General features: G+C 38.6%; 2 protein-coding genes and 1 long non-coding RNA gene across 5 annotated transcripts in view, besides 5 other annotated features; 2 read left to right on the top strand and 1 right to left on the bottom strand.

Annotated features, from left to right (window-relative positions):
* The window catches only part of TICAM2-AS1 (TICAM2 antisense RNA 1), an 18,265-nt gene extending 16,919 nt beyond the window's left edge, over nucleotides 1–1,346 (bottom strand). For both annotated transcript variants that reach the window (NR_109874.1, NR_109875.1), the window contains exons 1-2: nucleotides 1,041–1,346; nucleotides 345–455 (exon numbers count right to left, since the gene is read on the bottom strand). This is a non-coding gene — a long non-coding RNA (TICAM2 antisense RNA 1). The remainder of the gene's footprint in view (nucleotides 1–344; nucleotides 456–1,040) is intronic.
* TMED7-TICAM2 (TMED7-TICAM2 readthrough) overlaps nucleotides 1–25,005 on the top strand; it is a 47,541-nt gene extending 22,536 nt beyond the window's left edge. Inside the window, exon 4 of one of the 2 annotated variants that reach the window (NM_001164468.4) lies at nucleotides 22,304–25,005. In NM_001164468.4, the coding sequence (NP_001157940.1) occupies nucleotides 22,304–22,952 (649 nt within the window). In that variant the 3' untranslated portion in view covers nucleotides 22,953–25,005. Of the gene's footprint in view, nucleotides 1–22,185 lie in introns of both variants that reach the window. The other variant, NM_001164469.4, reaches the window with a different exon arrangement.
* TICAM2 (TIR domain containing adaptor molecule 2) lies at nucleotides 1,022–25,005 on the top strand. Its single transcript, NM_021649.7, has 2 exons — nucleotides 1,022–1,404; nucleotides 22,186–25,005. The coding sequence occupies exon 2, from the start codon at nucleotides 22,245–22,247 to the stop codon at nucleotides 22,950–22,952; it is 708 nt and encodes a 235-aa protein (NP_067681.1). The 5' UTR covers nucleotides 1,022–1,404; nucleotides 22,186–22,244; the 3' UTR covers nucleotides 22,953–25,005.
* Nucleotides 1,031–1,530: a silencer, noted in NCBI's record as "silent region_16253". NCBI's record gives its function as "represses an Ori minimal core promoter by ATAC-STARR-seq in GM12878 lymphoblastoid cells {active_cell/tissue: GM12878}" and the evidence as "EXISTENCE:reporter gene assay evidence [ECO:0000049][PMID:35858748]".
* Nucleotides 1,031–1,700: a biological region, named in NCBI's record as "H3K27ac-H3K4me1 hESC enhancer GRCh37_chr5:114937526-114938048".
* Nucleotides 1,150–1,672: an enhancer, noted in NCBI's record as "H3K27ac-H3K4me1 hESC enhancer chr5:114937526-114938048 (GRCh37/hg19 assembly coordinates)". NCBI's record gives its function as "activates a minimal SCP1, AML or CMV promoter by ChIP-STARR-seq in naive H9 embryonic stem cells {active_cell/tissue: H9 hESC(naive)}" and the evidence as "EXISTENCE:reporter gene assay evidence [ECO:0000049][PMID:30033119]".
* Nucleotides 1,621–1,700: an enhancer, noted in NCBI's record as "active region_22935". NCBI's record gives its function as "activates an Ori minimal core promoter by ATAC-STARR-seq in GM12878 lymphoblastoid cells {active_cell/tissue: GM12878}" and the evidence as "EXISTENCE:reporter gene assay evidence [ECO:0000049][PMID:35858748]".
* Nucleotides 14,634–14,713: a silencer, noted in NCBI's record as "silent region_16252". NCBI's record gives its function as "represses an Ori minimal core promoter by ATAC-STARR-seq in GM12878 lymphoblastoid cells {active_cell/tissue: GM12878}" and the evidence as "EXISTENCE:reporter gene assay evidence [ECO:0000049][PMID:35858748]".

Here is a 25,005-nt window from a genome sequence, read left to right as displayed (position 1 = left end):
CAAAGTGGGGTTGTCAACATCAAGGAAACAGAGTGTTGGGAAACAATGGTCGACTTTGTCAATCGCCAAAGAGACTCCCAGGAAAAATGAGGGCAACAAAAGTATCAGTTGGATTTAGGAGGCCACTGCTTACCCAAAGAGTTCAGGTAGAATTGTTGGGAGGTGCAGTGGTTGGAGAATCAACTCCGTGAATAATGAATTGTGTTGACACGGTACATAATACGGTATTTCTGACTACATTGGCGGCATTTCACTAAGTAATTACTACCTGAAGTGCCTACCTTCAGTAAGGCATCCTGTTGTTGGATGGGGAAAGAGAAGGAGGAAATAACTCTTAGCTTTACCTGTACTGTGCTTCTGAGACCCAGGTATGGACCTTCACTCCCAATTTACTATCCATGGTCTCATCCGATGTTCAGTAACTGGGTTCTCCTTTGGCAGGGAGTAGGGATTGCCTGAGAATTAAAAGGGGAGGGGAGATTTCTGAACTGGACCTCTTAGGTTATGACTAGATTGGGTGCCTGAGGCAGCAATGGGGCTTTATAAGGCTTCTTTACGCTTCATTTAACTAATTGCTTTTTTGTTCTCTCTTATTCAGTGGAGTTCCAATCTGTTCGGTTGTGGAGAACGAACCTGAGAAAAAGGATCTTTCGCAGGGTAGTTTTTGGGGGCAGAGGCTGATGTGCTGCACCCCCTAATCAGGGGTATGGTTGGCTGCAGTAGTCAAGTGAGAGGGCCGCAAAGGGAAAGGAAAAGTCGAGACTATCTTAGGGAACCAGGAGAGTCGCTGTACCTCTGAAAGATCTACGGTTTGTCTGGTCTGTAAGGAGCAAACACGGTGGAATTCCTTTCCAGATTTTTCTGGGCCTCGACCTCTGGCTTTTGGGGTACATGCCAAAAAAAAAAAAAAAAAAAAAAGCGCAGGGAGAGTCCACTAGCCTCGGTGACAGTTCCCCATTGCGGTTTCCCCTCCTCCACCCTTCTTTGCGAGCTCCTTCCCTCTGCAGAGAGTTATCCCGCCACATTAACCCCTGACTCACAGCTGGACCGCCCCGGCCCGCAGCGCCACGTCCCGGGTGGGGCCTGCCACGGCAAAGCAGCAGTCCGGCCTCGAGCGGCCCCTCGGGGGCGGCGGGGTGGGCGCCAACAGCAGTCAGGCCTGACAAGCGGCGACCTCCAAGGGTGAGGCCTCTGCGGGCCCCCGACTCACGCGCGTCCGGGCTCTGCAAGCGCGGTGGGGAGCAGGCTGCTGTGGTCGCGGGGACTGGGTTGCGGCGCGCCGCGTACGGGACGGCCCCAAACTCTCGACGCCCGGGGCAAGACGCCCACCCCCTGGGCGCTCTCGCTGGGCCAGAAAGGAAGACAGAAAAGCCGCGGGCTGACTGTGGTGGCGCTCGCCTGCAGGCAAGTACCGGGCGCTAGGGCGGGGGCCGCCGCCGGGGGCGCGGGGTGGGCTGGGGCCAGGCCGCCAGGGGCGCGGGGTGGTCTGGGGGCCAGGCCGCCTGCGCTACCTCCCCAGCCTACCCGACCCGACGGCGCGGGTGCTGGCGCTGTTGTCCCCAGCGGGGCGGGCAGGCCTTTCCGTCACTTGGCTTACTCTGAAGGGAAAATCCACACAGCTGTCTGCCTTTTTGTTTCATTTTGACTAGAAAACCCATTTTCGAAAAGACACCTCAGAACCATAAGCAAATAGCCCAGAGTCTTAAATGCTCTAAAGGCTCTGCATGAGCCCCTGCCAGGCACACAGAGCCAGTGCTGGAGGTTTTGGCATGGGTTTTCCTACTTGGCTTTTTGTGCAAAGCTAATTTGGATAAAAATAATTTGACTGGCAGCTGTGAGCTAGTTTTCAGTGTATTAGGACCTCTCCAGCTTTCCACGGTAGTAAACTTCTTAAAGAAAGTATTTTAAAATATTCTCATATTTATTATTATTTTTTAATTTATCCTTTTAATTTTGAAAAGCAAGGGTGGGAAAGGCTATATGATCTGGAGGTAAAAATACACCATTATATAGAGTTGAAGTGTCATCCCCTGAACCCACATTGCACGTCTACACAGGAGAAGAACTTGTCCTTCTCCAAGTGTTTAGTATTCCTTAGATTAGTGTTTTTCAAACAAGCCTGATGGTAAGACGCATTTGGGACTTTTGTTTAAAATGCATCCCCCCACCTCTGAAGGTTTAATTTGGTAAGCTTGATTTCCAGAATCTGTATTTCTATTTTTTTATTGTTTAATTTAATTTTATGTTCTGGGATACATGTGCAGGACTTGCAGGTTTGTTACATAGATAAACGTGTGCCATGGTGGTTTGCTGCACCTATCAGCCCATCAATCCTTACATTTTAATATTTTGAAGTAGTAGGATGGTTATAAATGGAGTTAAGCAACTCCACTTTATATCTCATTCAAATCAGAAAATAGATAAGCAGGTATAGAATATTGACACCTACATTTGAAGCAAAGTAAATGTGACATGTACGCCTTACCGTATGGAACTTGAAGTATAAACCATGTTTACACTGTTGAATCATGGGCATCTGTGTTGAGTCATTTGTTCCTTATGCTATTCTTAAAATGTATTCATTTAACAAATATCTGCTGTTAAATCTTCTGTCTTTAATCCCCCCTAGACCACACATCCCATTCTAGGTCCCGCTCCCCTACTTTGCTTCTTTTTATAACAAACAAAAATCCTCTTTGAAAGATTTAATCTAAGTCTCCATTTTCATTTTCCCTGTTTCTTCCTACCCCCTCTCATCTGAGGCTTTTTGTCCCCATTACCCCCTGCATGGTCCTGATGTTGCCAATGACTGTCTTGTGAAATCCAGTGTCTGTGCACAGTTCTCATCTTTCCTGACCCCTCAGTAACATTTGATCACTCCCTCCTCAATATTCTTTTTTCTTCACTAATGTTCTTCACTAATATTCTTTCTTCTTCACTTGGCTTCCAGGTCACCATATTCTGCATTTCATTCTGCTTCATTGTGTCTCCAGGCTTCCCCACCACTAAATCTTAGTATGCCACAGAGTTCATTTCTTGGCCATATTTTTCTAGCCATACTTTCCCCCAGGACAATTTGTATCCCAAGCCATATTCCTTGGCTATAAATAATATCTATCAGCTGATGACTTCCAAAATTTTATTCCTAGCTTTAGTTCGCTTCTGAGCTCCAGATGTATGTGTATGTCCAGCTGTTTACTCAGCATCTCCACTTGGAAGTCTGATAGGCATTTAAATTTAGTATGGACAGATAGAACTACTGATGCCAGATTCACCAAGTTCTCCCTCTGTTTCCCCTCAGCTCCCTCCCTTATCTCAATAAACAGCCTCAGTTACTGCCATTCAAGTAGGCCGGAATTCTAGGAATTTACTCTTGACTTCTCTTTTTAGGTCAGACTCCGCATCCAAGCATCCAACAAAATCTGTTGACTCTACCCAGATCTGCCCACCTCTCTCTCCCTCTCTAAGCTAAGCCACAGTCCTCTCCTACCTACATGATTGAGAAGTCTCTGCCTCTGCCCTTGCTCCTCTACAGTCTTTTCCAAATAGCAGTGATTTTTGTCATACATACTCAGAACTTTCATTTCCCTTCAAAACCTTCTGGTGGCTTCTTATCAGAATCACAAAAAAAAAGAAAGAAAAAAAAAAGAAAAGAAAAACAGGCTTACAATGGCTTTAAAGCCCTGTGTGATCTAGTCCCTGACTAGTTCTCTGAACTCATCTCCTGACTTCCCTCTCATCCACTCCACTGTAGTAACACTGATTGTGCTGCTGTTGCCTTTGCCTGCAGCTGGTGTCTGCTAGACCATTGCACACTGTACTCCCTCACTTCTCTGTTAGCATGCTGCCTCAGGGGTTACTGTGCTATTGCAGCAAGATCTCTTTTGCTGCTGGGCCTGTGCGGTAGGTTGCTATTAAATACTGAATGCTACTCTCTAGTATTCCATGAAGCTTATGGAACCTTTAAAACATTGTTGGTTGCTTGAGTTCCCTAATATTAAAAATGCACAACCATTTTTCTTTTGAGCCTAATTTTGATAAGATGGACAGTTTGCCTTTAAGTTCTATGTTTTTATAAAATCTCTTCCTGATTTGGAGATTTGCCCTTTACCATCAGTTTTCATTTTTAGATACAGAAAATGGAAGAAAAATATCCAGTTCACTAAAAAGAATATGTAATAATATTTGGTGGGGGGCAGTTACTTTGCCCCCCTCCCCCCACCAATAGGGGCAATAGGAAATAGGAAGCAATAATCTAACATTTGGAGACTCTTTGAATGGTACCAGCAGCAGGTAGTTTATGGGAAGAAGAAAAATAAAGACACTTGTTCAGAGAATAATATACAAGTTTCTAAGTTCTGCAGTGACTAAGCCAATGTCAGAGTTGTGAAGATTTTATAAGATATTATATAAATTGAACTTTTTTTTTTTTTTTTTTGAGACAAGGTCTTGCTATGTTGCCCAGGCTGGTCTTAAACTCACAGGCTCAAGCAATTTTCCCACCTCAACCTCCCAAATAGCTGGGCCTAGAGGCACATACCACTGCATCTGGCTCCAGTTCTCTTTTGAGGACTATGTAGAAATGAAAAACAATATTTTCATCTTTATGAAGAGGTGTAGCAACTAAAAGATTGTTTAATTTATAATCCTTATTTCTCATTTTAATCTCAAGGAACTGGTTCTGTTATCAGTAGCGTATGTACTATCACCCCTTCTTGTAAAAGAAAAGAAGAAAATTCCTTCTTATTTCAGAATTAGGATTTAAGATACTTTAATAAATATTTCCAATATAAGATTAAATTAAATTAAATAATAAGTAGATTTGGAATATCGAACAGAGAGAAGAGTAGGGGGGTTAAGCAGAAACTAGGAGTGAAGTTATTAATAGTATCAAAACACTTGCCATAAGCTTCTGTCTGTTGGCCAGAGCACTCATTAACGTGGAGCTTCCTAGCAACTGAGTGAAGAGATAGGGTCCACAAGATGAAAAAGCAGTGCCCAGGTGAAGATCGGATAGAAGCATTTTTTTAAACATTTACTTGCTCAAGGACCTGTTTTAGGTACGATGAAGATGAATGTTCTGTCCTTTGGTACTTAAGAAGAGTGTTGGAGAAGCCCTGTTTGGTTTAGAGTTAGCAAACCCATGCTCTTGGAATATTTGCATATAAATAAAAAACAGATGAAATAGAGCTAAACCTGGAGATAGGCTAAACTCATTTGGAACGTAGAGATAGAGCATGTAAGGAAGACACTTACCAAAGGTGTTGGAAAAGATATATATAAGGAAGATACTATTTAGATGGAAATCAAATCAACATAATTGACATAATTGTTGACAATTATTGACCTAATTGATATTTATAAAAATATAAAGCCTAGAAAATGAATTTTTATTTACTAAAAAACTATTTTTTCAGACTGTGTGATCATTGTTCAAAAGGTGAACATGTATGTGTATATATGTGTACATGTGAAGAACACGTGAGTTCTTCACATATATATGAAGGAATACATATATATACACATTTATATATTCTTATGCATATACCATTCACAGAGGATCAATGTTACCTTTTTGGTATTCACTTGGCCCATGAACAACATGGGTTTGTATTATGTGGGTCCCCTCATATGTGGATTTTCTCCAACAAAACATGGATCAAAAATGCGGTATTCCAGGATGCAAAACCCACACATACGGAGGGCTGACTTTTTGTATACGCAGGCTCTGCAGGCTGACTGTGGGACTTGAGTATTCTTGGATTTTGGTATATGCAGGGGTCCTGGAACCCCTGGAATCAGTCTTCCCTACCCTTAAGTATACCAAGAGACGACAGTACTTCTTTCTAATCTATTTTCTCTGCATTTTGTTTAACAAAGCTGAGATCATATTCTGTATACTATTTTACAGTCAGTTCCTTTTCTTTAATTACATTTCATTTTCGTGTCATGAGAAGCGTTTTTCTCATGTCATTAAAATTGTTCATAACATTCATAAACATTTTTAATGGTTTAATAGGATTCGATCATATGAATAATGTGACATAGTTAATATTATCATTCCCCAGTTTTTGGATATTTTTATTTTTACCTCCAATGGAATTTTGACTAGCTTATGATTGTACAAGATCTCTTATGATAATAAAATATAGTCATATAACTCATACTTCAAATATGCCAGAAAATATCTCCATAGATTGCATGACAAGAGAAAGCTAAGCCAGTTTGAGAAACTGACAAAAAGGTCTGTCAACCTAAATAACAGAGGGAGATAGAGGCTCTCTAAAAGAAAGTAATATTTATTCAGAAATGGGCGTTGCAGTGGGAATATGTGTGCCATAGTAAATTGTGTGTACTCAGGGAAGTAAAGGCAGACAAAGATTTTCAAAGTAAAAATGAGGAGGTTTACATAATTGTTTTGAGATAATTATTTTTGGCTTGTGGGTAAATAACAAGGGTGGCACCAGTCTGAAATTGGACAGGAAGTTGCTGGGCAGTTGTTCTTGCAGAAGTACTTTTTATATAGGACTGTGATGGCATTTGTGCAAGGTTCTGTTTTTGTTTGTTTGTTTGTTTGTTTTTGAGACGGAGTCTCACTGTCTCCCAGGCTGGAGTGTGCAGTGGCGTGATCTCGGCTCACTGCAAGCTCCACCTCCTAGGTTCACGCCATTCTCCTGCCTCAGCCTCCCGAGTAGCTGGGACTACAGGCACCCGCCACCACGCCAGGCTAATTTTTTGCATTTTTAGTAGAGACGGGGTTTCACCATGTTAGTCAGGATGGTCTTGATCTCCTGACCTCATGATCCACCCACCTTGGCCTCCCAAAGTGCTGGGATTACAGGCGTGAGCCACCGCGCCCAGCCAAGGTTCTGGTTTTTGGGGAGACTTTTATGATAGTTCTGGTTACTAGGCATTTATATTTAAGAACCTTTCCTTCATGGCCTTTCCTGGCTCTGATTGTCCGGTTTTTTAACACTAGTAACTCCACTTTGATTCTGACAACTCTTACAGACCCATAAAGACCCATGTGCAGGGAGCTGGAGGAACAAAGTGGAGAAAAGCATGAGATGAGGTTGAAGCTGAAGGAGCCAGGCTATGCAGGGTATTATTTGTCATATCAAGAAATTTTTATATCAAGCACAGTAGGAAGCCAATGCAGGGTTATAAATGGGAGTAACTCAAATCAGATGTTTTGAAAGATCATCCTGGCTGTTGAGTGGAGAATGGATTAGACTGATTGAGAGTAGGGGACCAATTAGGAGGCAGTGCAGAAGACCAGGATAGAGACATTGATCTAGAATGAAAATGTGGTAGAGAGGAAACTTGAAACAATTTGAGATTATCTGTTAGAGTTAGATACACAGGACTTGGTGATCACTTGGAAGTGCAGGAATAGGAGAGTAAGAGGAAGGTATCAAGGATACCCCAGGTTTTGGGTAATAACAGGACAAATGATAATGCCTTTTACCATGATGGAGAAGTCTGGGAAAATGAGGTGCAAGCTACCTTCCAGGTCAGCAAGTAAGACAAATTAAGAGTGCTGGGCAATACATATTATAAGAGATGTGAACCAGATATTATGGATATACAGAGGATGAGTACTTAATTCAACTTGGAGATAAAAGGAAATGCAATCCTTGAGTAGTGTCTTGAATCATAAAGAGGAGCTATTCATGTAGATGGTTGGGCAAGGGTACATTCTAAGATGGAGCATGGAGGCAACAACATGACATTTGGGAAAACCGTAAATAGGTGGATATTAGAACTCTCAAGAGTAACATGGTAGGAGCAAATTTTATGGATAAAAGGAGAGATTGGATCATAAAGGGCCTAGAATGTTATTCTAATAAGATAGAGTTTTTCTTGAAGGCATTAGGGTATTATCAAAGGGATCTTTAAGCAAGAGAAAAACAGGATCAGTTTTCCATTGCAGAAAGATCTATCTAGAAATGATGTAAAGGGAAAGAGACTGGAGGCAATGAAACTAGTTGGATATTATGGGAATTTGTAATCCTCTAAGGAGGAATAATATAGGTCTTGAACTAAAGCATAGGCAGGGAATGGAGAGAATGGGAAAAGAGACAGATATGTTTAGGAGGCAGACTAAACATATCTATTAGCAGGACTTAAAGTTTAGTGGGTGGAGTTGTGGGGAGGGTTTGTTTGAATGGGTGAAAGAATATGAGAATAATTTGTAGGTTTCCGTCGTAATCGGTAGAGAGGATATTAGTATCATTGACCAAGGCAGAGAAGATTGAGGAGGAAAGATTGATTGACTGATTGATTGATTGATTGATCCATCTGTCTGTCCATCTGTCCATTTACCCTGTGCTTATTGAGTACCTATTATGGCCCAGGTACTATTCGCTTGACCCAGTAAGCAAACTTTGGTCAACAGAGGGAATGACTGTACCAAGCCCAGTTTGATATCTATCACTCATATTAGTTCTTGTGGCCCAGCCTCTATTGGAATCATGTCAGAATAGTGTGCAGAGTCAGGGGTGCTACAAACCTAGAGAAGGGAGTGCTGTTTGGAAACAACTCACAGACTGAATTGAGTCTGTATCCATCATCTCAGATGGGGATGAGCTTGTCTCCTAAAAAAAAATCTCCTAAAGTCATGATACGCCTTTAGCCAGCATTTATTTCAGTTCATCCAATTGTAAGTCAGTCCTCCTCCCAGGCTGCAAGGGTATTTATGGTGCCTTCTTAATGCCAAAGGATTTTCACCAATTCCTAATTGCCTGCTATTTGTATCCTCTTTTTCTGTGGTCATTTCTTGAAAGTACTTTTAGCCAAAACATCTATCATATATTTTTTTTCTAACAGGTCTAGCCACTGTCACTTTTATGTCTTTGTTATGCATGAAAACTGTTTGCTAGAAAACAACATTTTGGCAAACAGTATAAACACCTTGTCAAGCTGCCATTCAGACTGAGGAAAACTTAGTAAGTTGAATAATTTTGTATTTCTTGGCTGAGAGCCAATGACAGAACTTAGTCTCCTAAGCTGACTGATCTACTAGCAAAAAATGTATAACTCTGCTATTTGGCGTTTAAACACACATACTTACATACATTTATTTATTTAAAAGTATAAAAAGACATCTAAGACAAACAGTGCTCTCATGAATTGTATTGCATAGGAAAGCACACAACCATATGTGTGTTTGGGTGTATGTGAATATGTATGTATACATACACACAGTTTAAAGCAAGCATATGCAAAGATGCACAGATTCAGTATAATTTGAACACAGAATTGGGATCATACTGTAAGTATTGTAATATATTTTAATTTGATCATTTTTAAAAATTAAGTAAGTAGATAATGTTACAAAGGTCATTTTAGTCAGAGGAATCACATTTCAGGCATGGATGAAGTTACAGAGCTGGAAAGGCTGGACATCCTGGCAGAAGAGAAAAGGACCAAGCATGATACTCATATTTTTGAAAATTGTTTTTATATAGTAATAACATAGAACACAAAAGCGCATAGAGCAAAGTATATAGTTGAATAAATAAAAAAACAATCAACCATGTAATCATTTTCTGGTCTACAATCATTTTTCCTAAAGATTTTCTTTTCCTCACTACTCTGCAGTACCTCTTTTGTTGTACATCGTGTCCATATATGTTTGGATCTGTTTCAGAGCTCCTTATCCCATCCCTTTAGCAATTTGTCTAACATTTTGCTGTATTACCTTGTCTTCACTGTTGTAACTTTATAGTAAGTGTTGATGCCCAATAGAACAAGTCCTCCCATCTTATTCTTCCAAGTGTATTGACTATTCTTACTCTTTATATTTCCATAGAAATTCTGGAATTGAACCGGTAAAACCCAACCAAAAAAAGTCTTGTTGAGATTTTGATTGTTATTGCATTGAATCTATATATCAATTTAGAGAGAATTGACATCTTTACTATATTGAATATTTCAAGTAATAAACATGATATATATGTGCATTTATTTAGTACTTTCCTTTTATATTTTATCTCACTAATATTTCTGTGTGGAAATCTTGCCCCTTTTTTGGTTAGATATATGCCCAACTATTTGATATTTTTTGATCTATTGGAAAATGACATTTTTTTTGTAATTTTATCTTTTATCTTTGTTATTGGTATTCAAAAATACAGTTGAATTGTTTATGTTGATCTTATTATATCCATTTTCTTGCTAAACTTGCTTATCTTTTAGTAGTTTTGGTAATTTTTAAAATTTTTGGATGATAGAAGACTCTTTTATTTCCAGTTTGCTAAGAGTTTTTATAATGAATGGATGTTGAATTTTATCAAAATATTTTTATTTTTAATTGTCAATGTGATTACTTACATTGATTTTTGTTTTAAATTTTTGAGATAGAATCTCATTCTCTCGCCCAGGCTAGAGTGCAGTGACAGGATCTCGGCTCACTGCAACCTCCGCCTCCTGGGTTCAAGCAATTCTCTTGCCTCACCCACCTGAGTAGCTGGGATTACAGGCATGCGGCACCACACCTAGCTAATTTTTGTATTTTAGTAGAGGTGGGGTTTTGCCATGTTGGCCAGGCTGGTCGTGAACTCCTGGCCTCAAAATGAGCCACCCACCTTGGCCTCCCAAAGTGTTGGGATTACAGGCGTGAGCCACCACACCCAGCCACATCAATCAATTTTTACTTGTCAGATCAACCTTGCATTCCTAAAATAAACCCAACTTGGTTGTGATGGATTATCCTTTTTTTAAAAAGGATCCATTTTTCTAACATTTTGTTTGTGATTTTTGAAGTAATAATCATGAGTTAGACTGATCTATAATTTTCCTTTTTGTAATATTCGCATCAGTTCTTGGTGTCATGGTTATGCTGGCCTCATAAACATGAGTTGGGGAATGTTTCCTCTTTTTTAATCTTCTAGTTTTATTATTTTTTTCTTTACATATTTGGCTACTATTTGAACCTGGATTTTTCTTTTTGGGGAGATTTCCAATTATGAATTTATATCTTTAATAATAATTGAGAGAGAGGGTTAGGAAGAATAGCTAGTGGGTGCTGGCCTTAATACCTAGGTGATGGGATGATCTGTGCAGCAAACCATCATGGCACACATTTACCTATGTAGTAATCCTGCACATCCTGTAAATGTACCTCTGAAGTTAAAAGTTGAAGAAAAAAATAATTGAATTCAGGTTATTTCTTCTGTGTCTGTTTTGAGAAATTGTCTATTTCTTGGAATGTGTTTATTTCGTCTCAGCTTTCACTTGCGTTTATATATGATTGGTCATAATCTTTTTATTACATTTTACGGTCTGCAAGATCATCACTGAGATCCCATTTTCATTTCTGACATTGGTTATTTGTGCTTTCTTTTACTTTGTATATGACTCTAGATTAGCAGCTATTTTCTTTCATCACGTTAAAGCTATCATTATTTCTCTTGAGAAACATTCTTATTGTTGCATCTTTTAAGGTAATCTATTTTCTCTTGCTGTTTTTAAGACTTTTTTCTTTGCTATTGGCTCTTAGCAGTTTTACTGTGTTGAAGCTAGATGTGGTTTTCTTTTTATTTATTTTCCTTGAAGTTCATAGGACTTTTAAAAATGTGTGATCTGATGTTTTTCTTCAATATTGCAAAGTCTTTACATTATCTCTTAAATTACTGCTTTGCTTTAATTCTCTCTCTTTTCATTTGGGACTCCAATTTACACATTTGTTACACCTTCTAATTGTATAGTTGTTCTGTGTAGCTTTTACCTGCTTTCTTGTATTTTACTTTCTTTTTTTGTTTCTCTCCCTTATTCTGAAGGGTTTTTTTTCTAGCTTGTTTTCTAGTTCATGAGTTCCTTCTGCTGCTGATCTAATCTAATGATAAATCCATCCATTCAATTCTTAATTTCAACTATTATATTTTTCAATTTTAGATTTTTTTCTTACCTGCCATGCCTTTTTTTAAAGTTTGCAGTTATCTGACAAAATTCTCAATCTTTCCTCCTCTTGTGCAATCACAGTTATTAATAAAAGTTTGAAATCCACATAGATTTATTTCTATTGTCAGCTGCGTTTGCTGGCTTTCTTGTCTTCTTCCAGAGAGGATTTAATTTTTGCTTGTGCCGGGTTCCTGGCAGCACTAACAATCTGTGATCACTTTAATCTGATTTCAGAGATGGCAGTTATTAAAAAGAATGCTTCCATTCCTGGGAGGATCAGTCTGTTTTTAGATCACTCGTACACCTAGGTGTAGCCTTCAGGGTCCCAACCCAAAGCACACAACTGGAGTCACACTTTTGTCTCATTAACCATGAGGGGCAAAAAGCACAGCACTAGCTTTCCTCTTCTGAAATTGAAAAATACTCTAGGGGGAGAGTCGTCTCTGGGTTTCTGTCTTCTGGATTTGGGTTCTATAATTCTTCACTATGTCATTAGTTCTCTGATGCTTCAAGCCTATTTTTTTTTTCTATTTTGTCTAGCTTTTCTAGTTATCCTCAGCAGTAGCATTGATCCAAATTACCTAGTCCACCAGTACTAGAAGTGGAAGCTGCAAATAGCCCCATTTTGATATTTGAGAAACAGGCCAAGAAAGAGCATTTAGTAAAGGAGACTGAGAAGGAGGAGATGAGAGAGAGAGACTGACACATGATGGTATAGTTAAATGGATCTTGGGAAATGCCTTTAGTGACTTTAAAGCCATAATAGAGAGTTAAATAACTTTTCATAGGAGTTATTTCCTCTTTCCTTTGTAGCCTATATCTTTGGAATAGAAAGAAAGGTAAGATGATAGTTCTAAAGGGAAAGATATTAAATAAGTACGACATGCAAGTAAAAGCAGGAGAGCAAAAGTACAAACAGAAGAACCTGAAAAATCTTAAAGAAAATTGATTGTCAGCAGCTCAGACATCTGTATACATCTGTAGCTAATAGATAGGATATGGATGGGTAATAAAGAAAGTGAACTTGAGTTTTTAATACAATGTATCCCCTGAAAGGATTTCCCTTCAATTTAGAAAATGTACATTAATATTGCTTTCTATCAATAAGACAACCAACTTGTACAGAAATTTCTGAATCCAGGTATGGGAAGCACTGTGGAAAGGTTTCATATTTCATTTCTTCATAGTTAGATAATGGTCCTTTTGTCTACTTTGTAATCTTTTCTGTTTTCCATATTATGTATAATGCATATGTCATATTTATATTCACGTAACTTTTTCTTTTTTGAGACAGTGCCTTGCTCTGTTGCCTAAACTAGAGTGCAGTGGTGCAATCATGGCTCACTGAAGCCCCAAACTCCTGCGCTCAAGTGATCCTCATTCTTTTTAAATTTATTTATTAAATGTTTTTTGTAGTCATGGGGTCTTGCTTTGTTGCCCAGGCTGGTCTCAAACTCCTGGCCATAAGTGATCCTCCCACCTCGGCTTCTCAAAGTATTGGGATTACAGACATGGACAACTGCACCAGACCCTATATTCACATAATTATTTAAAAAATGTAGTATAAGTGATCATTTTTAAAATCTAACAAAATATATTTGGATTGGTTACTCTCTATTCTGGTTGAGTCAATGATTTATATAATAGGGATGATCAAAAGCTATCTGTTTGGCTTTCTCTCTAAAGCTACAGAATTCTGTCATATCTTTGGAGCTAATTAATTTATTCATTCACAAAGCATTTCTTGAATGCTAACTATATGCTAGGCTCTGGGGATATAGTGATGAATAAGACAAGTTGATCGTTGTTCTGATCGAGTTTGCAGTCTAGCGAGAATGATGAGAAACTAAGCAGATAACCATTCACATAAATAATTAATTGTGATTAGTGCCATGAAGGAAAGATACAGAGTGCTAGGCTTTGATAGATCCCATAACTCTAACCTTTCTAATGCAAGCTCTAATAGCTAAGAATGAAAAGTATAGGTACTGGCTTACTCTAACTGTAAATAAATGCCAATAGGTAATATTTGATATTTGATAATCCTTTTATTTAGGCTGGGCCTTTGCCATCCTTATTGATTCTCTGCAATCCCCCAAAGAAAGAAAACAAATGACAGCCAATTCTCAAGAATGTTATTTCAATCTAAGATGAAGATGGATTCAAATTCAACTCATTCTGTTCCTGAAAATACTTATTACCCTAGTTGGGATTTTTTAATATTTCCAGTGTCTAAGAAGTCTAAGAATAGTCTATGTGTTTCTTATCTGGCTGGCGTGGATCTGTTCTACTGTGTCCTGACAGCTCGGCAGAGCTTGGCACACTCCCGTGCTGTAGTTGAGGGATCAGCACACTTTTTCTGTGAAGGGCCAAGGAGTAAATATTGTAGGCTTTATGGGCCATATGGTTTCTGTTGCAATACTCAACTCTGCCTTTGTAGTATGAAATAAGCCACAGACAAATACATCAATGAAGGGACATGTCTGCCTTCCAATAAAAATGTATTTACAGAAGCAGGTGGTAGAGTTTGTTTTGGATGTTGTATCAATCACAGTTTAGTTGTGGACAACAGAATCTACTCTAGTTAGTTTAAGTAGAAAGGTGTGTCTTATGAGATATTACAAGATGTACAGTATCGTTGGGAAAGTTGAAGAACTGCACTCTAGGTTGGGTTTCTAGAAACACCTCTCAAAGCCATATAACAGACTTGTCTACTGGCCTGGGGCTTTTGGCATACTCAGAAGCCTCCTGCCAAATCAGGAAGCAGCCAGCTCCTTAATTATGCCCACTCTACCAGAATCTTAGCCAGCAAAACAGGTGCTTCATGTTCTGCCTCGTTGCATATTTAACTCAGACGTGTAAGTACATCTGATGCTGAACTTAAATTACGTTTAGGAAACCTAGCATTGAGGGAGTCTGGGAGATGAAAGTTTTTAGTACTTGTGGTACAGAAAGTACAGGAAGATACAGTAAAAAGAGACAGGAATAAGTTTTCGATGAACAATTCTTTAGCAGATACTGCAGCAGATCTACAGAACACCACTTTGGCTAATTAACATCATGGACACTCTTCTTTTCAAACCTAAACTTCTAGATAACAGCAATAGCTGTAATGGCATGCTATCTCCCAATATAATGCAGCTCTCCTTCATATAAACAAAAGTGGACTCACCTTCTCTCTAAAAGGTACAACGTGAAGTCCCATAGGTCACTTTATCATCTGTAATATTCATCACAGACATTATCCTGTGACCCAGCACACTCAAGAGTTAAGTGGCCTATTCCTCTTCAGAAAAGGAGTGGTGGTGGAGAGACAGAGCTTACCCAGTGCCCAAGAGGATAAGACCTTAATTCTAAGACGCTTCCACACGTATATTTCACCCTCTTTACTAGCAAATTCCCTTCAGTTCGTAAGCATTCCAAGTATCTTCTCTTAATGAAAGCCTCTCCTGACCCTGCATTTAGTTATGAGTATTGGCCTCTCCTTTCCCTCTCAGCCAACCTTTTCCTCTGAATGTCAAGGTGCTAAATGCAGTGGATGCTGATTTCTTGGCAGCCGTGGGTGCTGACCACTGCTGAAGCCCTCTCCTCCCTTGGCTTTCAGATGCCATTCTGTGTCTGATTTTCATGCTGTTCCTGGGCCACTCCTGTTCCGTTATGGGCCCCTCACCCTGCATATGCTCTTCAGTCATTGGTTCTGTCTTTAGCTCTCTCTCTCCTCTCTTTTCAATACCTATTCTCAGTTACTCACATGATTTAAGCAAGCAACTAACTTGTATCCCCAATCTAAGATGCTCTTTTATGCCCCAGACCTACATGTGCAAGTGCCTACTGGATCACTCTTGGAAGCCATGGGCACCCAAGCTCCATAGGTCCCAGACTGGATTTCTTGGTCACCCCCAACCCACTCCATCCTGATTATATTGCTTTTCTCAGTGAATGACACCACCACCCACCAAGTTACAAAAAGCATAAGCTTGGGAGGCATCCCTGACTCTTCCCTCTATGCCATCCCCATTACCTCCACTATCACTTCATCTGTTTGGGGCTCTGCTTTCTCACCGACACTATTGTAGCAGCCTCTTAACTAATTGTTCTCCCAGTCTAGCATCTTCCAGTCCTGTAGCCTAGTTTCTTTACAAACCTAAACTTCCAGACAACAGTAATAGTTATAATGGTATGCCATCTTCCAATAGAATACAACTCTCCTTCATATAAACAAAAGTGCACTCACCTTCTCTCTAAAAGGTACAACTCAAAGTCCCATAGGTCACCATATCATCTGTAATATTCATCATCAACAATTTTAGGACTATTTTAACCTGTGTCAAGTCAGATCAGATCACTCGCATTTAACACCTACCAGGGGCTATCTGTCTGCCAGCATGATGAAAGCCAAAGTCCTGAGCAAAATACCTTAGGTTCCTTATAAGGAACCTCTTTTAATCTACTTTACCTTTCCCCTGCTCTTACTTCTTTCCCTTCCTCTTCTGCCTCCTCCTTCATGGACTTGAGCCATAAATGTCCGGTGCAAAATGATTCTAACATACAGTCTTTGCCCTCTGGTACCTCAGTGTTTTTTCAAGTGCTGCTTCCACTGCCTAGAAAATGTCCACCTGTCTTTGTCTTGCAAGGGTGAAGCGTCCCGTGCTGCAGATGGCCCTCCTGAGTGCTTTCATGGCACCTGATATTCTGAATAAAGCACCTGTGCAGTGAGTCCTAATTGTCTTGTTTAATTATCCTGGCTTCACATCTCTAAAACCTAGCATGTTTTGCTGCAGAATGAGTTTCCACCAAAATATTTATTAATAACAAACATTTATTAACAACAAAACTTATTGAACACAGGAATCTTGATTTTACATATATTTGCCACAAGATGGTGCTGTTCAGATATGAACGAAAAAGGCTCTCCAAGGCTGAAGGATTCAGTACTAGGTGAAATTTCTTTAAATATGTTAAAATTTTAATATTGCTACATTCATCGGTCACCCTACTTGACCAGTCATATAAGCATTTGAAGTCGGTTAAGCACTGTCTTTCTCTTGAACTGTTTTCTTTCCTTAGCAGCTGGGGTACCACTCTCTTCTGGTTTTCCATCAACCCATCAACCTTACTGACTAGTCCTTTTCTGCCTCCTTTGCTAGTTCTTTCTGTTCTGTTTTTTTTTTTTTTTTTCCAACACTCTACCTTAATTAATGGTTTCATTAATGATTTATGAATTGCATGTTGTCATAGCAGTAATGGGTAGAAGTGACTAACAAATTGCCATAAATCTAGCCTAAAGACAGATCATCAACTATCCAAAAATCATTTGTAACACAACACAAATAAAAAATCACTGTAGGAATAGTTAATCTTAATAATAATGACAACAATAACTCCACCTTCATAATGTTGGAGTGCCATAGGGCTCAGCCTTTCTTTTTCTATCTATACTCACCTCCTTAAAATCCTGTATAGTCTTTAATGATCTCATATTGTCTTTCTCAAATACAATCTATACAAAGATAAAGGCCAAATATGCATCTCCCTGCTGGAACCTTTCTCCTACACTCCAGACTCTATATTCAATGCCTAGTCAACATCATCAGCAAATCTTCTCAGTTCTACTTTCAAAATATGCCCCAAATTTAGCCACTTCTCACCACTTTTACTACTACCATCCTGGTTCAAGCCATCATCATTTTACTATTGGGTTTCTGCAACAGACTCCTAACTAGTGTTCCTGCTTCCACCCTTCCCTTCCTGCCTTCTATTCCTGCCTTCTATTCTCAGTGCAGCAACCAAAGTGATCCTGTGAAAACTAGTCAGATCATGTCACTCCTCTGCTCAAAATCCTCCCCTGGCTTCTGCTCTCGCTTATCTCCTTCTAGGCTACCCTTGGCTCCCTCCAGCCCCACGGCACTCCTTTGCGGTTTCTATATTTTCCTTATAGTGTTTGGATCCTTGATTTGTCTATAGCCTCCCTTTTTATCTAATTCTGTTAATTTATCTCATCTTTGCTATTTTTGTTTCATTGATTGCATATTCTTTTTAGTACCTCCTAGAGCAAGGTTATTCAAACTGCTTGTCCATGATAATCTAAGAAGCATGCACCAGAATGTAAACCATGCTGCTTCCTGCTTTGAGAGTGTCTTGCTAGGAAAAAAATGTCAGCTGGCTAAACAGCATACCTACTGATGTAGTTGATTTACATCCTGGCACAATCTGCTTATCTCCTCATTGACTGGTAAGAAACAGTTCAGAGACTGGCATCTTGTTCATGGACTACGCTTTGACTAGCACCACCCTAAAATATAAACATTTGTTGTATAAATGTTTTAGCTTCTTTGTTATGTATTTAATAGCAATAATAGCTGCTAATGTTTATTGAGTACTTACTATGTGCCCAGCACCATCCTAAGCCATTTTGATCTTCATAAAACCCCTAAGGATAGGGACTATAATTATTTTACAGATAATGAAATAAAAGCACAAATATATTGATTAAGTTGTACAAAATCACAGTTATTTTATAGCAGGAAGGAGATTTACACTCAGGCAGTCTGATTCCAGAGTGCATAGTCTTCATGAAATGGAATTTTAAATCTGTTTTTGTACGCTATGATTCTCCTTTATATTCTTTTATATTTCCTGTAATATTTTACATATTCACCATAGCATATTTGCCATGTTGTTTTTTTCATTCCTCTTCTGTTTAATATAGAGAATTCTACTGGGGTCCTCTTTTGCATAGATATGAAGTGGATAAATTCTGGACTCTCCTTCCTTCTTATCTCAGGCCTATTGATCTTCCCTTCAGAACTTTAGTTTAAGGGTACCATTTGGATTGATTATGTTTCTTCACATTTCTGTTGCCTGAGGGGATGGATATGATTCACTCTGTTGGGCTTTGGTCAACAGTAATTGGTAGTTTTTCTCTTATGTCTTTTCTGGGGCAAGGGATAGAGTTGGGGTGTCATTCTATCAAGTTATAAGTTTTTTTAAAAAAGGCTCAGCCCTACGGAGAGCAATTTGACCAAATGAATCACTGTTACAAATGGAAATCCCATTGGGGGAATTGTTCTATAGATAAACTTGCACACATATGAAATGCTTTTTGTACAGAATTATCCATTGCAGCATAGTTTGTCCTAGTAGTAGACTGGAAACAACTCACATATCCAAGAACAGGGAATGATTATGGGATAGCCACATGCTGCATGATTATGTAGTTGTAAATAAGAAGAAGTTCTCTATGCGCTGTTACGGAAAGCTCTGAAGATATAAAGGGAAAAAGCAATGTATACTAATGTTTATCCACTGCTGTTTGGGATTTATATGTCATGTATACATATGAATAATGATACTTTTTTTGAAAAGGAAAGAATAACAAGAATATTCTTTCAAAATATCCTTGTTTGAATTTTGGGACATTTTTGAAAAAAGGAAAGAAAAATAAGAATATATATTCATAGAGAAACAGTGGAAAGATGCAGGAGAAACTGATAAAAGTGGTCACCAGCAGGAGACCATGGGAATAAGTAACAGGATGGATGGAGACACACCACCACCTTTTTTTAAAAAAAGTAAATGAAAATGTATATACATACACATTTTAATTTTTATGAACAGTGGTCTCACATGCGTCTCCCAAGTGGCACCCTCACTCTCCTTCCATTTAGCTGAAGCAAGGAGGTGAAACCTAAATTTTTTAAGCCTGGTGTTCATTGTTCTGATGGAGGAGGAGAACTTTAAAGGAGGCTTTCCAGGATTCCTTTGGCCAACCTTCCCCAGATTTCCTTCACCACGCCATGCCTTTCCTTTGTTCCAGTAGAGCCCTTTTTACTGATGGAGTTAACTGGCCAACAGTGAAGCACAGTCGTGTCCTCTCACTTCCTCCCAGCCCTGGGAACCACAGTGCACTAAGGAATCCTGACCATCTCTCCATGTCTGAGTCACAGTGGTGGTGGGAACAGCACAACTTTCCACAGCTTGTTCCCTTGGCAGTCTCCTTACTCCCTCCCTCCAGATTAGAAGATGATGGTAAAGTTTTATAGACATTGCCACTAGTTTTTTTCTCTCGGTCTGATTAGGTGGGTGACACTGCTTGGAAGTTGGAACACATCATAGATTTCTGAAGTCTTTTGCTCTTTTTTGCTAACTGGTATTTAAGAAAAATAAGTCGAAGTTGTAATTCTTTGTTTTTATTTTAAAAGATTTTGTGATCTGCCTTGACACACTATCTTACCCTAGAAGTTTTTCATATTCTTTATAAATAGCTGTTATATTCCTTCAAAGCACTTGTCTTACCGGCTAGTGACTAAGATAATGGTGTTGAATTCAGTGATAAGTGTAGATCATTTTAATTGACAGTAAATAGATGCCTCTGGATGGTTTAACTATTGTTTTCTCATTCAGGGGAAACTTCTTTCTGCAACTTTGCATAGCAAAACCCTTTTTTTTTACGATGCAGTAACAAAAGTCAGCAGTGAATCCTAATCAATGAAGAGAGTCCAAATTAATTTGGTTTTATTATTTTGGATGGATATATGTCACATTTTAGAGTTATTATGCCTTAGAATACCTCTTGGTAACTAGCACAATATACCGTGGAGCGAGAACCTAAAGTACAGACAGAGTGAATGACGGAGTGGTCAGCAGTTTCCTCACTAGTCAGAGGCAGCTGCAAACATTTTTACTCACATACATTGAATGAAATTCTCTGTTTTTTTCCTTGGTTTTTGTTCCCATGACAGTTTTCACCACTTTTGTTGAACAGTTTCTTCTAAACCTGAATTATGTAGGCATATGTAGCCATGTTACTTATGTTGTTATGAATGTTATAATTTCTTCTTGAGGTATGGCCTTTGCCCATAAAGAACAAGTAGAAATGCTCTGGAATATAGTCTGTGGCTCACATTTGAAAGTATGAAACCTGTATTTATATATTCTAAATGTTCTGTCTTTTAATAAAAGAATTCCCCTTGAAACTGCCTGTCTGGGGGATTTTATTAGGAATATTGCCAATGTTTTCTGAAGACTTATTTAAATTAGATTCACATGGTATACTTTTCTTTCACAGTTGATCTAGTTCTTCCACTCTGAATTTAGAATTTTTTTAAATAAAAGAATGAGTCTAGGCCAGACGTGGTAGCTCATACCTGTAATCCCAGAGCTTTGAGAGGCTGAGGCGGGAGGATTGCTTGAGCCCAGGAGTTCGAGACCAGCCTGGGCAACATATGAAACCCCATCTCTACCAAAAAAAAAAAAAAACCAAAAAAAAAAAAAATTAGCCAGGTGTGTGGCATGTACCTGTAGTCCCAGCTACTCCAGAAGCTGAGGTGGGAGTATGGCTTGAGCCTGAGAGGCAGAGATTGCAGTGAGTTGAGATCACACCACTGCACTCCATCCTGGGCAACAGAGCCAGACCTTGTCTCAAAAAATAAATAAATAAATAAATGAATAAATAAATAACAACAAAAACAAGAATGAATCTAGACTATAATCATTCTTTGTTGATTTCACTGGAGAAAGTCTCAAGTCTTTGTTTCTAGAGTTCATTTCCAAACTGAGATGTTAATTTTTCCTTAGGTGAATAAATATATTTTCTTCAGTAGTTACAGGATTCGTTGGAAAAAGATATTTCTTACTTTTCACACACTCTTATTATAATTTATTCTCCATTAGATTCACCATCACCACAATGCCTGACTCCAGACAAACAAAAAAAAGCTCCGAACCAGTAAATCCTGGACATCATTTCACTTGACATTTCAGATCTTCTGTTTATGCTGTCAGTAGAGATGCTGCCAGTCATTGTTAGGATATTTGTGTTCTATTTTGTTTGTGCTTGATACAGAAATATATTTATGCTTAATTGAATATTCAGTTTCTTTATATTTTCCTGTTTCTAGTCTACATGGTAATTTGATAATGGAGAAATTAGATTTAAACTGCATGAAAAGATAAAGCGGTATGGTACCTATCACAAAAATACCAACGTAATTTATTTCAATCTGGAGGTTTGTAGTGCTAATATAACACCATTTACATTTTCCGAATGTCTCCTATTATATTAAACTGGACCCTTTATTTAATGTTCCCTTCGCTGCCTGTGATAGCCCTTGTAAAGCTCACAAAAGATTAGTAGTTTAGCTTCCCAATTATCTGTTTGTCGTTTATGTATTTGGATCTGTCTATTATAATCTTTTTGAGCTTTTCAGTTTGAATGAAAGTTTCCATTTTTAATGTTTTGATTAAATTTATAATATTCTTCTGTTTTGTTACTTCTTTTAGATTGAAAAGAAATGCTGAGAAATACATAAAGTTTTCCTCTTCTGCCTTGGATATTTATAATGGGTATCGGGAAGTCTAAAATAAATTCCTGCCCTCTTTCTCTCTCTTGGGGTAAAAGGCACAGTGTGGATACAAGTCCAGGATATCATGAGTCAGATTCCAAGAAGTCTGAAGATCTATCCTTGTGTAATGTTGCTGAGCACAGCAATACAACAGAGGGGCCAACAGGAAAGCAGGAGGGAGCTCAGAGCGTGGAAGAGATGTTTGAAGAAGAAGCTGAAGAAGAGGTGTTCCTCAAATTTGTGATATTGCATGCAGAAGATGACACAGATGAAGCCCTCAGAGTCCAGAATCTGCTACAAGATGACTTTGGTATCAAACCCGGAATAATCTTTGCTGAGATGCCATGTGGCAGACAGCATTTACAGAATTTAGATGATGCTGTAAATGGGTCTGCATGGACAATCTTATTACTGACTGAAAACTTTTTAAGAGATACTTGGTGTAATTTCCAGTTCTATACGTCCCTAATGAACTCCGTTAACAGGCAGCATAAATACAACTCTGTTATACCCATGCGGCCCCTGAACAATCCCCTTCCCCGAGAAAGGACTCCCTTTGCCCTCCAAACCATCAATGCCTTAGAGGAAGAAAGTCGTGGATTTCCTACACAAGTAGAAAGAATTTTTCAGGAGTCTGTGTATAAGACACAACAAACTATATGGAAAGAGACAAGAAATATGGTACAAAGACAATTTATTGCCTGAGATGAAACATATAACATGTGGCTGGCTCTTGTTTTGTAAACCAAATGATTAATCTTCACTTGAGAAAGCAGTTTCTAGGAAATGTTTAAATAAAAGAGAGTCTTCACCTTAAAGAAACCTATGGAGCACAAGAAAGATAAATTTCTGCAGGACAGCCTATAAAATTGTGGTACTTTTTGATGTTTCAGTAAACTTGACATTGTCAGAGTTTCAAGGACTTTTCTTTCACAATTTTCCTAGTTCATGGATATGAAAAAGGAATTCTCAATCCATATTCCTTGTATTGAACCTTGAACAAAAACTTGTATGACAGACATTTTTAAAAATGTGACAACACTTTTATTCTCTGAATTTTGATCTCAAAGGACACAGAAAAAAAATGGCCCCAGGAGATCTGATCACACTTCCTCCTGAGGCACCTCTCATGGATGTTGCAATAAGCATTCGGGTACTATCACCCAGAAATATGAATTGCCAGAATAGAACATTTAGCATGTTAAGCGTTGATGCATATAAAATCAGAAATAGATGTGAGAATGGTGGAACTTTTTAAAAGAACCCAGTCAAATGTATTTTCTGCTGAAATCTGCATATTTGGAGGCATTTCCCACCACCGATTCACAGCCCATTTGATAGTGTGGTAGTTAGGGACTTCGTGGAGTGGTGTTCAGACGTCCCCTGGGGCTTAAATCTCTTCATATTAGTCATCATTTGTAACTATGGCTTTATTTGCAGAGCTTCTAAAAGGCGTATAACTGTGTGAGTGGCCAGATATTCACTTTTTAAATCAAAAACCTCTCTTATGGAAGCTTTAAAAGTTTCCGTCACACACAATTCTCTTCTCAGGAAGTATTTCTCATTTAGGTCTTCAAAGTAGCCTGACTGTGTGCATGTGTGTGTGTGATAGGTTATTTATAAAGACTTTGGATAGAAGGAGATGTATTTTATTACCTCCTATTCTAGAGCCCCATGCTCCTAACAAGCCAGAGAGGCCCCAAACAGGATTGTTTCTTTCCTCCACAGCCCTTCTGCCCATCTGAGATTGAGGGAGCATCGTCCACTTGAGATCAGGGATGGGGTGGAGAATGGGTCATGTCATGTAATGAGAAAAGCCCTCTTCGGGATCATGAGACTTGGTTCTAGTCCAATTTCTGCCACTGAGGATGAATGTAACTGTGGGCAAACTATTTACCCTCCTTTATCTGTGAAATGAAAGGGTTGAATTGATGGATCTCTAAAGGCTTTTGTCCTCTATGAGGATGTGAAAAACTAGGGACCACAAAAGGGAACAAGCAAAAAAGTTTGGATTCGATAAAGTGATATGTAATAGTTGCAGAAGGCTTTATATATGCTTATAATGAAAAGATATTTTTTGTATATTGACAGCATAATTTATTTTTAATGCTGTCATTACACTTAAAGTCACAGGAAAAAAATATACATGCTTACTCAGGCTTTCTTAAAAATAAATTTTTATAGAGATCCTTGAGTAAAGACATTTTGCTTAATTTCTTTTTTCTTATTCCCCACTTGTATATCCCCTACCAGTACCGGGATCTGCACACATCTTTTTGCAGTTACCTCTTCATAGCCATGAACCAAAACGTTCTATGAGGAGCATGCAAGTAAGTCAAGCCTCCTATTCTGTTAGTACTTATTAGAGGAGGAGATGGTTTTCATTGCATAGTGACATTTTCTTAGCCTTAACGTTCTGATAGTAGCTTACTACTCACTTCTCTTTTTCAGTTTTCATAATAAGTATTCATTTTTTTGCCATAATGCTTCCTGTAAAGCCAATTTTATATACTAATAAAACATGAACTGCCCACTCTTCATGCCTGCCAAACTTGGGGCAATTGATGCTAAATGGTATTTTTAAAATAAATGTTTTTATTCTTTACTCTTGACTAAACTTGTTTATTTTCAACTCCAATGAAGATTGTGGAAGAGTGTTTTGAAATGAAGCATCGATTTGTACTTCATAGAGCACCAGACACAATGTCTCACCCAATTTGGAGTTCCATATTTTTTTTATGATAAAGAAAAATGTTGG

Source organism: Homo sapiens, chromosome 5, assembly GCF_000001405.40.
Source record: "Homo sapiens chromosome 5, GRCh38.p14 Primary Assembly".
Taxonomy (NCBI): Eukaryota; Metazoa; Chordata; class Mammalia; order Primates; family Hominidae; genus Homo; species Homo sapiens.
Note: the sequence above shows the minus strand (reverse complement) of the source record. Positions and strands in the feature narration are given on the sequence as shown.

Excerpts from the sequence above, each read along its gene's own strand:
- TICAM2 (NM_021649.7), top strand. The coding sequence starts at position 22,245 with ATGGGTATCGGGAAGTCTAAAATAAATTCCTGCCCTCTTTCTCTCTCT.